This window comes from Homo sapiens, chromosome 1 (genome assembly GCF_000001405.40).
Source record: "Homo sapiens chromosome 1, GRCh38.p14 Primary Assembly".
In the NCBI taxonomy this organism is placed as follows: Eukaryota; Metazoa; Chordata; class Mammalia; order Primates; family Hominidae; genus Homo; species Homo sapiens.
This window is the reverse complement of record NC_000001.11, coordinates 5,860,064-5,872,629: the sequence shown is the minus strand read 5'-3', so window position 1 is coordinate 5,872,629 and position 12,566 is coordinate 5,860,064. Positions and strand designations below refer to the sequence as shown.

At 53.7% G+C, this 12,566-nt stretch overlaps 1 protein-coding gene and 1 non-coding gene across 31 annotated transcripts in view; both read left to right on the top strand.

Annotated features, from left to right (window-relative positions):
* NPHP4 (nephrocystin 4) overlaps positions 1-9,819 on the top strand; it is a 129,615-nt gene extending 119,796 nt beyond the window's left edge. For 27 of the 30 annotated variants that reach the window (NR_111987.2, XM_006710563.4, NM_001291594.2 and 24 more), the window contains 7 exons: positions 4,734-4,890; positions 5,515-5,600; positions 6,172-6,257; positions 7,357-7,528; positions 8,113-8,292; positions 8,597-8,740; positions 9,225-9,819. Coding sequence is in view for 28 of the 30 variants with exons in the window: in XM_006710563.4 (XP_006710626.1) it covers positions 4,734-4,890; positions 5,515-5,600; positions 6,172-6,257; positions 7,357-7,528; positions 8,113-8,292; positions 8,597-8,740; positions 9,225-9,365 (966 nt within the window). In the remaining 2 variants the exon portion in view is untranslated. The other 3 variants (XM_047417574.1, XM_017000998.1, XR_007058632.1) reach the window with 3 other exon arrangements.
* Positions 9,889-9,958, top strand: MIR4689 (microRNA 4689). The gene has a single exon (NR_039838.1). It is a non-coding gene; the product is annotated as a microRNA 4689 (primary transcript).

Here is a 12,566-nt window from a genome sequence, read left to right as displayed (position 1 = left end):
GAGGCTGTGGCGTTCCCGTGGCCCGGGTCTCACTGTGGTTGCAGCCTGGCCCTCTGTGTCCACCGGGCCCCATCACCAGTGAAAACTTGCTTTATTTTATTTAAGTGTGCAGCCACAGCTTTGCCTTGATCTAAGGAATGTATCTGATCTTTATTGAGTGCTCTAGGTTAACGCTTTTTCCTTACATGAGTGGGAAGTCCCAGCCATCGCGTCCTGTTGCCAAAACCGTTGGGAGGAAGGTTTTCCTCTGCTAGCTCAGGTCTGAATGGTAAGGGCTGCAGGTGGATGACCGTAGACAGAGGGACAGCAGCAAAGACGGGCCTTACCGTTGTGAGCCCGTGGCAGCATTGGGAAGTGAGTAGCTTGCCAAATGCCCAGAGGTCGAGGTTTCTGTGCCAATGTAGCACAAAGGGGGCGAGGGCCAGGGCCTCCGTGGGAAGACGGGGACATTCTGTTGTCTCTTTATGCTGTGAGCATGGCCAGTCTGTGACCTTCCTGGAATTTGCAGGATGCTTTCACTTACACTTTCACATAGGGGTTTAATGGCAGCTGCACTTTCAGGTGGCTGTGCACTAGTCAGATAAGGAAAGTTCAGGTAAGATTTCTTTTCACCTTAAAATAATCTTTACGTCAGAAATATGATCTCTTCACATGAATTTGGAGTTTGAAGGGAAATCCTAGACACTGTGTTAGTTTACCCATAATTACTGCAGTGTGTATCTCTGACTGATAAGGACTTTTCTTTTTATCATGACTGCATGCTGTTGTTGCTGCCCCCAGTCAACGCAGACCTCGGCATCGTCTGCTGGGGCTGTAACCACGGGCCTTTCTACCACTGGTGCGTTTGGATCAGGACCCGCTGTCCTGGGGTGCTCCGCCTCTGGAGTTGCTCAGTGGGCAGACCACGTTGTCCATGAAGGCCACCCACAGAGGCCATGCTGGCTGTCACCGTGCTCAGGTGCTGATGGCCTGATGCCATCACCCGTGTCTCCCTCACTCGCATCCAGCTGAGGCTCCTGGCCCACTGCGTGTTCCATCCAGGGTGGAAAATGGTGAAATTGCAGTCCTGTCATTCTTCCTGTGATCTTTCTACAAACAAGGACTTTCCCGATCAGCAGTTTGGTTACCCTAAAATATACTTTGTACTTGAAAGTGAGGATGAATGTTAGAATCATTCCCTTTATCAATTTTCAAATAAATGAGCTGCGTCCTAGCAGCCTCCAGAGACAGTCCATGTTTGCGGCGTCTCATGATGGACACCGAGGCGTTATATTTGTATTTCTCATCCCATGGAGGCACCGCTCTTAGACGCTGGAACTGCCCTCTCTCAGGCCACCGCCATCCTTTTCAAGTTAACTCCTGTGCCTTTTTTAAATAACAAGTAGTTATTTTGAAATAATTTAGAACTTAGGGAAGAGTTACAGGAAGAGTGCAGAGTCCCCACATAGGGTTTTCCCAGACTTCCCGGTCACTAACCTTTGCCATGTTTGCCTCGCCACTCTCTGTTTGTGCATTTTTCTTGAACAATTTGAGAATAAATTATCAGGTAATGCCCTTTACTCCATGACACTTCGAGCTGGGTTATCTTGAAAATAAGGCCACTGTCCTCTGTGGTCAAAGGAGAGCCATGAAAATTAGGGAACTGACGCTCCTCTTCTGTCATCACAGGCCCCATTCACATTCACAAATGTCCCAGCACTTGATAGATGGCCCGTCCAGTGGCCCCCACCAGCCTGCTGCCCATGGAGTCCTTCTGGCGTGGCTGCAGCTGTTGTGAAGTGCACAGGCGGTTATCCTGCAGGGCGTGCCCAGTGGGGCTGGTCTGGTGTTCGTTTCAGTTAGACCCAGGTTATGCACTTGGGGCAGGACCTCCACAGACATTTGCCGTGTCCTCTACGAACATCATACTGTGAGGGACACCGTGTTGCTTTGTCCTGTTACTGGCGATGTTACTGTTTTCATTCAGTTAAGATGACATCTGCCATGCTTTTTTCCTGTAATATCAGGAAATGTCTAGTAATTAGAAAGTCATGAGTAAGTATCTTGTTGGGAGATACTGAGGCCGTTCAAATACCCTATTCTTCATCAGACTTTGACGCACTAGGTGTCAGTGTGCACTGATGACCTGGCCCGAGTTGGTTGGTAGTGGGATGCTTGCCTGCCATGGATTTTCCAATTCCATCATTCCTTCTCTGTTGATTACTGGTATTTTAAGTAAGGTAGAGCTGTGCCTTCACCCCATTCACCTATTTACTTTTTATATCCTTATGAACAATGAATTTCTATTTTATTCATTTTGTTACTATCATTATTTATTTTGTTGCTCATATTCGTGCCCTGACTAACCAGGGCAGCCTCTTCAGGCCAGCTCCTGCGTCCTGTTGATTCACCCCTGTCCTCCTTTGAGTCTTTCCTTACTGCCCAGCACAGCAAGACGCCCCAGGCTCAGCTTGCATTTCAGGAGTGTCAGCTATTTAGCTCGGGTTCCTTTGGTTGGAGAATGATATTTAGAAACCAAGATTTGAGCGTTAGATGTACTCAGTACTACTGGGATGTCACTGCTGCTAAGTCCCTCTCAGCAGAGACCTAAGAGGTGTATGCCTGTGGGTGCAGATACATACATACACAATATGTGCATATCATGCATATATGATGTATAGATATGTGCGTGTATGTGCACAGACTACTGTTTCTAGTGTGCTGAAGACCATGAATTTGCAGCAGTTCTTCCAACACCAATTTAACATCACGGGTTTCTTCCTGTTTTTTTCCATGTTTGTAATTCTCATTTCTGCTCATGAGAAACCTAGCTCGCATTTGGCTTACTTATTTGCCTAATTTCCTCTGTATATAACCAATCTGCTGACCACACTGGCCAAATCCCTTTGGCTACAATACCACTGGCCATCTTTATGTACGTGTATATTTCAAAACATCAGTACCAACCAGGGCTAGACACTATCTGTCAGTGCAAGATTTCTGAAGGTGCATTTGTCTTTAGGTCCTTTGTGTCCTGTGATTTACATTTACTTAAAGAATTCTTCTCTGGATAATTACAGCACCAACTTGATAGAAGCTTAGATTTGTTTATTTTTAATACATTAACACTTCTATTTATTTTAGTTTTCAAAATTAAAAACAAGTAAGTCAAAAATCAAACTATAAAGCAAGATATATTTGGAAGGATCTTGTTTCCATTCTTGCCCTGCCCCACTCTCTCCTTCTCAGTGTGTGCAGGTGTGAAGTGTGTGCATGTGTGTGTGCATGCATGTGTGTGTGTGCGTGCATGTGTGGGTGGTGTGTGTGTATGTGCATCCATGTTTGTATTTGTGCATCTGTGTACATGTATGGATGCATGCATGCATGTGGGTGTGCATGTGTGTGTGTGTGTGTGTGCATGTGGGTGGATGTGTATGCATGTGGGTGGATATGTGTGCATGTATGTGTGCATTGTGTGCATGTGGGTGCGTGTGTGTGCATGTGTGGGCGGATATGTGTGCATTGTGCGTGTGTGCATGTGGGTGCATGCATGTGTGCATGTGTGGGTGCATGCATGTGGGCATGCATGTGTGTGCGTGTGGGGGCATGTGTGCATGTATGTGTGTGCATGTGTGTGTGTATGGGTGCGTGTGTGTGCATGTGTGGGTGGATGTGTGTGCATGTGTGTGTGCATTGTGTGTGTGTGCATGTGGGTGCATGCATGTGTGTACATGTGTGGGTGCATGCATGTGGGCGTGCATATGTGTGCGTGTGGGGGCATGTGTGCATGTATGTGTGTGCATGCGTGTGTGGGTGCGTGTGTGCATGTGTGGGTGGATGTGTGTGCATGTATGTGTGCATTGTGTGCGTGTGTGCATGTGGGTGCATGCATATGTGTACATGTGTGGGTGCATGCATGTGGGCGTGCATGTGTGTGTGTGGGGCATGCGTGCATGTATATGTGTACATGCATGTGTGTGCATTTGTGGCTGGATGCGTGTGTGCATGCATGGGTGCATGTTTGCATGTGTGTGCACGTGTGCCTGCATGCATGTGGGTGTGCATGTATGTGTATGTGTATGGGTGCATGTGTGGGTGCATGAGTGCATGCGTGTGTGTGGGTGCGTGTGTGTGAGTATGCATGTCTCTGTGGTTGTGTGTATCTTGAAACAAATATAGCCTTTTTATCAGTTGTCCCAATTAATACCTCTTCAGACAATATGGTTTTTAATGAGTAGCTCTTTTGAAACCAGGAAAGTTTCTATTTCTAACCCCTTTGGTTTAGGCACAGCCTCTTTTTGCCATCTGGAATCAAAGAGCTTGTGCTGACGTGCTTGACCGCGAACTTGGCCCTGCCACCACCCACTCCAGGACCTCCTGGCCTGACTTGCGCACATGCACACAGGGTGTCGGGAGGTGGGATCATGGCAGGAGTAGTTTTGACTTGGGACTGCAGACCTTCTCCACTGGCATTTAAGAAGTGTGCTGTACTCGCGAGGAATAATGGCAGTGTGGCTGCTTGGGTGCCCTGTGTGGGTGCCGGCCCAGACCTTGCTTAGCGGTCCCCTCCTGGTGGAGACCTGCTGCTGCAGACTCAGTCCCTGCCTTTGACGATGCCCGACCTTCCCCGCTCATGGCAGTGGAGGGTGAGGGGGTCTTGGCAACAGTGGAGATACGTGTGCTGTCTAAGGAGGGACAAGAAGCTGCTCACAAGCCTCGTGCCCATCCCAACACTCAGCGTGGCCTCCTCACAGGTCTTGTTCCGAGCGAGTGGTGGCAAGCCCATCGCCGTGCTCTGCCTGACTGTGGAGCTGCAGCCCCACGTGGTGGACCAGGTCTTCCGCTTCTATCACCCGGAGCTCTCCTTCCTGAAGAAGGCCATCCGCCTGCCGCCCTGGCACACATTTCCAGGCAGGTCCTGCACTGACCCTGCAGCCCACATGTTGCAGGCTCACCTGTTGGAAGTAGATACCTCTTGAGGGTGACAGATGGCCTCATGGCTTCATGCCCTGGTGCTGTCAGAGCAGCACGTGGGGCCTGGGGAATTCTCTCTCCTGCCTTTATGGTTTGAAACGGTGTCCCTCTTGCCACCTCTGAGATGACTAGGTGCGCATTTGCCGGCTGAGTCTGCCCTTCTAAAAAATCCCAGCTCCCGCGGCCCAGGTCCAGGTGTGCCTGGAGGAACACCTACCTCCTCACCTGACGGCCCGCGTGTTTCTGGTAGGTGCCCCTTACAGCAGAGTGCAGGCTTCCCTGCTCCAGGGAGCTGTGTTTTCTTTTTTGTGGCCCCCTCGATTATTCCCTGTGGAGATGGCTGCAGCCGAGCCGCAGTGGGCTGGATGGGCGGTGTCCATGCAGGGAACACAGTGCTTGGATGCTGTCCTGGGAAAGGTGGCGGCGTCCGTTTCCCCAGCAGGTGTCTTGCTGAGCACCTGTGACGAGCCTGTCCTGTCCTATAGTGTGTAATGTGTGGGGCCTTCTCCACACAGGCTGGGGCTGTGGAGAAGACTCTTTTTGACATTTCCCCTGCTCCAGGTGCTCCGGTGGGAATGCTTGGTGAGGACCCCCCAGTCCATGTTCGCTGCAGCGACCCGAACGTCATCTGTGAGACCCAGAATGTGGTAGGTTGTGTTGTGGCCCCAGCTCAGGCAGATCCTTCCCAGTGAGTCTGCGCCCCTGTCGGCTTCCCCACGGGTATCCTGGGATCCTCTTCATTTTAGGTTTTCTGCTAAGTGGTTTCTTTCCCAAGGTACTAAAGGGCTATTTTGACATCCTTATGAGAGCTTTATGAGTGTGTTTTTATTTTTTCTACTAGCAGATCAGCTCCTTGATCATCTGAATTTAAATTTTAAAAAGGCACGAAGCAAAGTTAATAAAGTGGATGGTAATTAAGGCACTTATTAATTACCATTATGTAAAGGATAAGGCAATAATTGTGTTATGACCAGTTAGGAAACCGGATAAAATCTCCTGTAGAATCTAATTGTTGAGATCCATGTAAAATCAGGAAGCTAATGATCTTCTCTTTGGCAGTGAACAGAATAGTGAATTCCGATTGGTATAGAACATGAACAGATGCGTTCTGGGAGGGACTGGCCGTCACTCGCTGCGTGTATTAGTCACAGATTTAGGGGCCAGGCTGGGGTCGGCAGAGCACTGTGTGCCCTGATGTGCTGCACATCTGGTTGGCAGGGCCCCGGGGAACCACGGGACATATTTCTGAAGGTGGCCAGTGGTCCAAGCCCGGAGATCAAAGACTTCTTTGTCATCATTTACTCGTAAGTGCACAGGCTTTGGGGACCTGGAGGCGGTGGCGGAGGAGAGGAGGAGGCAGGCCTGGGGCTGCTGGTGGATTGAAAGTGGGCTTGGCCCCTTCCTAAAATTGGGGGAGCTTTCGGGCCTTCGCTTTGTGAGGCGGGATTCTGCTGCGAGTTCAGGGCCCGCAGGGGTCTAGGGAAGGCACCTTGGAGGGGCACGTGCAGCCTGAGGGACTTGGGATGCAGCTCCTGCCACCAAGGAGAGACACCAGTCAGCCTCTGTCCCCAGATAGTGGCAAGGGCCACCCAGAAGCCCCTCATTACCTTTTTCTTGCTGAGTCCCTAGGCTGAACAGCATGAATGAAGCTGTGGTCCCTCCTGCGGAGAGGCAGGACTGTGGTGGAAATGCCCATCCCTCTCTCCTCCAGGCTAAATGACCCGGCCCCTTTCCCCTCCCCTCCTAAGTCGGATCCCCAAGCCCTGTGAGAATCCTTTCAAACTGGTGTGAGCTCGGAGATTTCCTGCAGTGCTTCTGAGGATGGGGCAGGGGCTAACCTGCACTCAGTGCCCACCACAGAGGGGCCACGTGACCACGTCTCAGAGTGGCTTCCTCGTGAGCCCATGAAGATGCCTCACCCAGCCCCATTTGACTGTGAAGCAGCAGGCTCTTGGCCCTAAAATGCTAACAGGGGCTTCCGTGCTCAGGCCGGCATGACCTCCAGCCCCACCCTGTCTCCTGCGTGGCGCTGCCCTTGGCTTAGCCTCAGAACCCCTATTGGGGGTGGACACTTGTCCAGGATGTGTGTTTGGCCAAAGCGTGCCTTGTCATTTGTTTGACATGTGGTTCCTAAGCAGCCCTGCTGCGCCCTGAGAGCCTCTGCTGTGGGTGGGAGATGGGCAGCCAGGGGTGGAGCCACCAGGCCCTAGCTCTGCCTCCTGGGGCCTGGTCCTCCGGGGCTTTCCCTGCGTGGCCCCAGCTCTGCCTCCTGTGGCCTGGTCCTCTGGGGCTTTCCCTGCACAGCCTCCTGTCTGCCCACGCTCCTGGCAGCCCTTGTTGGCCTCTCGTGGGCCGGTGCTGAGTCCTCCGGGACAAGTGCAGATGGCTCCCATCCCACTGCAGGGATCGCTGGCTGGCGACACCCACACAGACGTGGCAGGTCTACCTCCACTCCCTGCAGCGCGTGGATGTCTCCTGCGTCGCAGGCCAGCTGACCCGCCTGTCCCTTGTCCTTCGGGGGACACAGACAGTGAGGAAAGTGAGAGCTTTCACCTCTCATCCCCAGGAGCTGAAGGTACGGCCTCTCTGGGGGCTGTTCTGAGCCTCTCCCCAACCCCAGCCTGGAGACGGGCAGTGGGCATTCAGCTGGAGCACAGTGGGTGGCCCTGACAGCAGCTTTTCCAGCGCCTCCAGCGCGCAGACGCTGTTACCAGAGGCCTCTCGGCAGTTGCCTTTCGTTAGATGTGCCATTGTGGGGTGAGTGACGTACACACCAACCCCAAAGGCCGGTGTTCAGAATTCCTGGCAAGGTGAACAGTGACAGGAGCTCTGGTGTTAGTGAAGCCACAGTTAGACGGGGTGGGAGGGCGGCCCCTGGTGCCACCAGCTGGCCGGGGTTTTAAGCCCAAGATGGCTTCAGTTCTGTCTGCGGAGGCAGCGCTTAGGGAATAGTCGCCGTGTGAGAGGAGGGACTTGCCTGGTGTGGACCCAAGTCGCGGCCACAGTCATGTCAGGGTTGGTTGTGGCCTCAGATTTGGCCGCCCCGGAACCACCCATGACCTTGGGCTCCCCTGGCTGATTGGGCTGCAGGCGCCCAGGAGCCCCTTGCTTGCACATCCTGAGAGGCTGTGCTCTGACCCGCCTCTCTCGCTCTTGAAGACAGACCCCAAAGGTGTCTTCGTGCTGCCGCCTCGTGGGGTGCAGGACCTGCATGTTGGCGTGAGGCCCCTTAGGGCCGGCAGCCGCTTTGTCCATCTCAACCTGGTGGACGTGGATTGCCACCAGCTGGTGGCCTCCTGGCTCGTGTGCCTCTGCTGCCGCCAGCCGCTCATCTCCAAGGTCTGTATGTGTGGCAGGCACAGGCTGAGGGGATGGGGGCTCAATACCAGGGCACTGCAGGACCCCCACCTCGGCCCTGTGACTCGGACCACTGGATACAGTGTTCTGACCCAGCAGGGCCGGGTGCATGAGTGTTTGCTCCTGTGCTGTGTCTCTCCCGGATGGAAGCTCCAGAGAGCGTCTGTCTTATCTCTGTGGGGGTCCCCGTGCACGGTGCACAGGAGACTCAGGGAATACTTGGAGGAAGGGCCAGTGGCTGTTCCCGTGAGTGGCCGCAGCGTCTCCCTGTCCCCTCCCTCCACAGGCCTTTGAGATCATGTTGGCTGCGGGCGAAGGGAAGGGTGTCAACAAGAGGATCACCTACACCAACCCCTACCCCTCCCGGAGGACATTCCACCTGCACAGCGACCACCCGGAGCTGCTGCGGTTCAGAGAGGACTCCTTCCAGGTGTGGTGGGGCTGTGCCTGGGACTCCTAGGGGAAGACCCGGGGACCTGAATGGAGGGCAGTTAGCCTGCATTTAGGAGCGAGTTCCTCAAATCACCAGCAGTCTTCCAAAAGCCCCAGGGCGGTGACAGGTACCATCCCATAGTTGGGTGGGCCCGTTGTATCTTTAGTAGCTGGAGATTTAGCAAAGTTTCTCCTGAGTGTGGGAAAGGGTGTTGTGCCCAGGGCTTTTCATGGTAATGTTAGACAGCTCAGTCTCGGAAATAAGTGTGCCTTCGAGTCCAAGTAACGCGTCACACTGGCTGAGCACTGGTTCCCATCCTTGTACCGGGCGCTGAAGTCAAAGGCAGGCCTTGGATGCACCCGCAGGGCTCCCCTGCCTTGTCAGCTCCCCTTGGAAATAAACACGACCATGCAGAGAGGTTGCTGGTGAGAGCGTGGGACAGCCCGGGGGTGGATGCTGGGATTTGGATGCTTATTTCCAGGTCGGGGGTGGAGAGACCTACACCATCGGCTTGCAGTTTGCGCCTAGTCAGAGAGTGGGTGAGGAGGAGATCCTGATCTACATCAATGACCATGAGGACAAAAACGAAGAGGCATTTTGCGTGAAGGTCATCTACCAGTGAGGGCTTGAGGGTGACGTCCTTCCTGCGGCACCCAGCTGGGGCCTGTCTGTGCCCCTCCTGCCCTGCAGGCTGTCCTCCCCGCCTCTCTGCAGCCTTTCACTTCAGTGCCCACCTGGCTGACCTGTGCACTTGGCTGAGGAAGCAGAGACCGAGCGCTGGTCATTTTGTAGTACCTGCATCCAGCTTAGCTGCTGCTGACACCCAGCAGGCCTGGGTTCCGTGAGCGCGAACTCCGTGGTGGTGGGTCTGGCTCTGGTGCTGCCATCTACGCATGTGGGACCCTCGTTATCGCTGTTGCTCAAAATGTATTTTATGAATCATCCTAAATGAGAAAATTATGTTTTTCTTACTGGATTTTGTACAAACATAATCTATTATTTGCTATGCAATATTTTATGCTGGTATTATATCTGTTTTTTAAATTGTTGAACAAAATACTAAACTTTTACACGTCTTCCCTTGGCAGTTTTCTTGAGTGTCTGCTGGCGCAGTGTCAGAGGCTTCCTGTCTACAGCACAAGCCCGGTTTCTCCTTGAGGAGACATGGTGGGGGCCGGTCAGGCAGCCCATGCCATGTGTCCTCATGGAGAGGCCGCTCAAGCCTGCCCTGGGTGGGGGCTGAGACCCCGGCTCTGAGACGGCAGCAGTCGGGTAGAAGTGCGAGGGGCGGAGGGTCCTGTGCCCCTGAGCGGAGGGTGGGCTGCACCCAGCGGTGGTTGCAGAGAGCACGTGGCCCCATTGGTCCTTGCAGTGAGGTGCGGTCCTCGTTTGCAGAGATCAGTCTCGGTGGGTGGTCTCTGCTGCGTCTGCATGCTCTGATCCTGACGCAGTCCCCATCCTTCAGAGAGAAATTTCACTGGCACTGTAGTTGGACCCTGAAGGTCAGAGCTGTGGCTTTTTCCTGCGTCTGTGCCAGGGGCAGAGAGAGAGTGGAGATGCCTCCTCGGGCAGTGTGTTTGTATCCTGGTGCTGCTTCTCACGAGACAGTCTGCCCTCCCTTCCCACGGACTCTCCAGCTGGACAGGACTGGCTGACACAGTTTTCTTTTGAGGGAGCTGGATTTTCTCACAGGCCCCAAGGCTGAGTCCTAGGCAAGGGAACAATTGTAAGATGTCCAGTCCTTCAGTCCTCATGGAAGAGGCTCCGGGGAGTCCAGGAAGCCACATGTGGGTTCCATCCAGCCCTGCCCTGTGGGGTGGAGAGTCCTCGTGGGCCCTGCAGGCTGGGTGGGCCTACAGACTGCAAGAAAGTGCCTGGCCTGTGCTTGCAGGATGTCCATGCAGAAGCGGAAACCACAGCAGCAAAGGAGATCCATCCATGGGCTAGAAAACCTCCTGTGGACGTGTCCCTTCAGCGTTTGTAAAGCTGCACTCTCCCTGCTTTAGAGTGTCTGCCTTCTAGGGGCTGCTGGAGACATCCATTGGAGGCCATGGCGGTCGTTGGTTTACTCCCTCACTCCTTCATCTGGTACCACATGCCTGCTGTGGTCTCCACCCTCTCAGAGGCTCAGGAACATAGGGAAGGCCCATGGTACCTGGGACACTCAGCTGTTGCCAGCCCGGAGTGGGAAGGAAGAGGTGCAGCCTCCCACAGGAGGATGGAGGTTGGCGGGGGCTTCCCACGAGTCGATCTGAGTGGGTGAATAGGGGAGGGGAGACCTGGGCAGAGGGCCATGGGAGCTGAGGCCCGGGGCCAGCGGCATGGTGTGCCCAGAGTCCTAAGGAAGGCCACCAGGCTGAGAAGCCATCCCTGATGCAAAACAAGGTCCTTTCAGGCCATGAGGAGGACTTTTATCTGTATCAAAAAGCGTCAGGAAGCCTTTGAAAGGTTTTATGCAAGGATGGGTGTATTTGGGTAAGATGGGGGCAGTAATGTGGAGAATTAATTGGAGTGGGCCCAGATGTAGGCAAATGAGAGGCTGCTGCAGTAGTTGGGAGGGAGATGATGGGAGAATGGACAGAAGAGGCTATATTTTGTTCAGCTGTGAGTGATTGAAAATCCAAAATAACACTGTCTTAAACAAGATGGCCATTAATTTCTCTCACATTTAAAAATCCAGGTAGCTGGTGTAGGGCTGGCGTGGAGCTCCACCATCACTGTGCTCCCGTCTTTTTCTGTCTTACCATTGTGCTGTTCTTACCACGTTGCTTCCACCTTGTATCCTGAGATGGCTGCTGCAGCCGCTGCCATCACCGCTCCATTCCAGTCAGCTGGAAGCTGGGGTGAGGCACATAGCTCCTTCTGAAAAGTTACTGTCCGGAAGCTGGACCCGTTTCTCTGCTTGCATCCTTGTGTTCGTTTCCTATGGTTGCCTAGGTTGGCCTCTGTCCACGCCAGAGCTGGCTTGGAAAGACTGAAGGAGTGAGGTGGAGGCTGGACTCCAGGGGGGAAGGAGTCACTTAAGGTGTTTCTGTGTCTTTTCAACATGTACCTGTGCGGAGTAATGATATCTCTCTGGCTTGTCCCTGTTGTCATCTGGGTTGGGATTCTCCATGTTGCTTTTTCTTGAAGGCGGCCTCTGAATTTGCACGCCTGCCTCAGGGCAAACGCTGAACAGCCAGGGATCCCAGCTTGTCCACACCCTATGCTGGCTCAAACGTGTGCAGTCATGATACGGAGCCGTCTCTTCGAGTCGGATGTCCAGGCCTCTGGTCACAGCGTCACCTGGCCAGAGCCTCCGAGTAACCCAGGTGCCTGGTCACTTCCCTGGCAGCTCTGTGTGGAGAAGGTGCAGCTGTGATTTACTGGGTCTTGTCACTGCAGGCACCACCTGGGCAGCCCACCCATCCCTGTCCACTCCGTCTGGCTCTCGCCCTGCTCCTGCTGTTCCCCGTCGTACCACGCGAGGGCAAGGCCTGCCCCGTTAGCCTGCTGCTTCCGCAGCGCCGCTGCACTCTCATTAAGGGTCTGGGGAATGAGCCACTGTGATGGGTGCTGAGTCGTGCGGGCAGGAGGCTCAGACTTTCTCCTAATAGGTGCCTTTAAAGTAATGTTGATGGATGTGATTATGAAGCTATTATGTCCCATTTGTTCCTACAGTCTTGCTGGGGAGGGTGACCGGGACCATTTTATCCTTCCCTTGCAGAAAGTCTCGGTCAGATGCATTGTACTGCAGGGGAGGCAGGGTCTCAACTGCTCAGACATGAGGCCCAAGCCTGAGATGAGCCAGGGAGGACTCCGGTGCTGGAGAATTAGGTGGGCG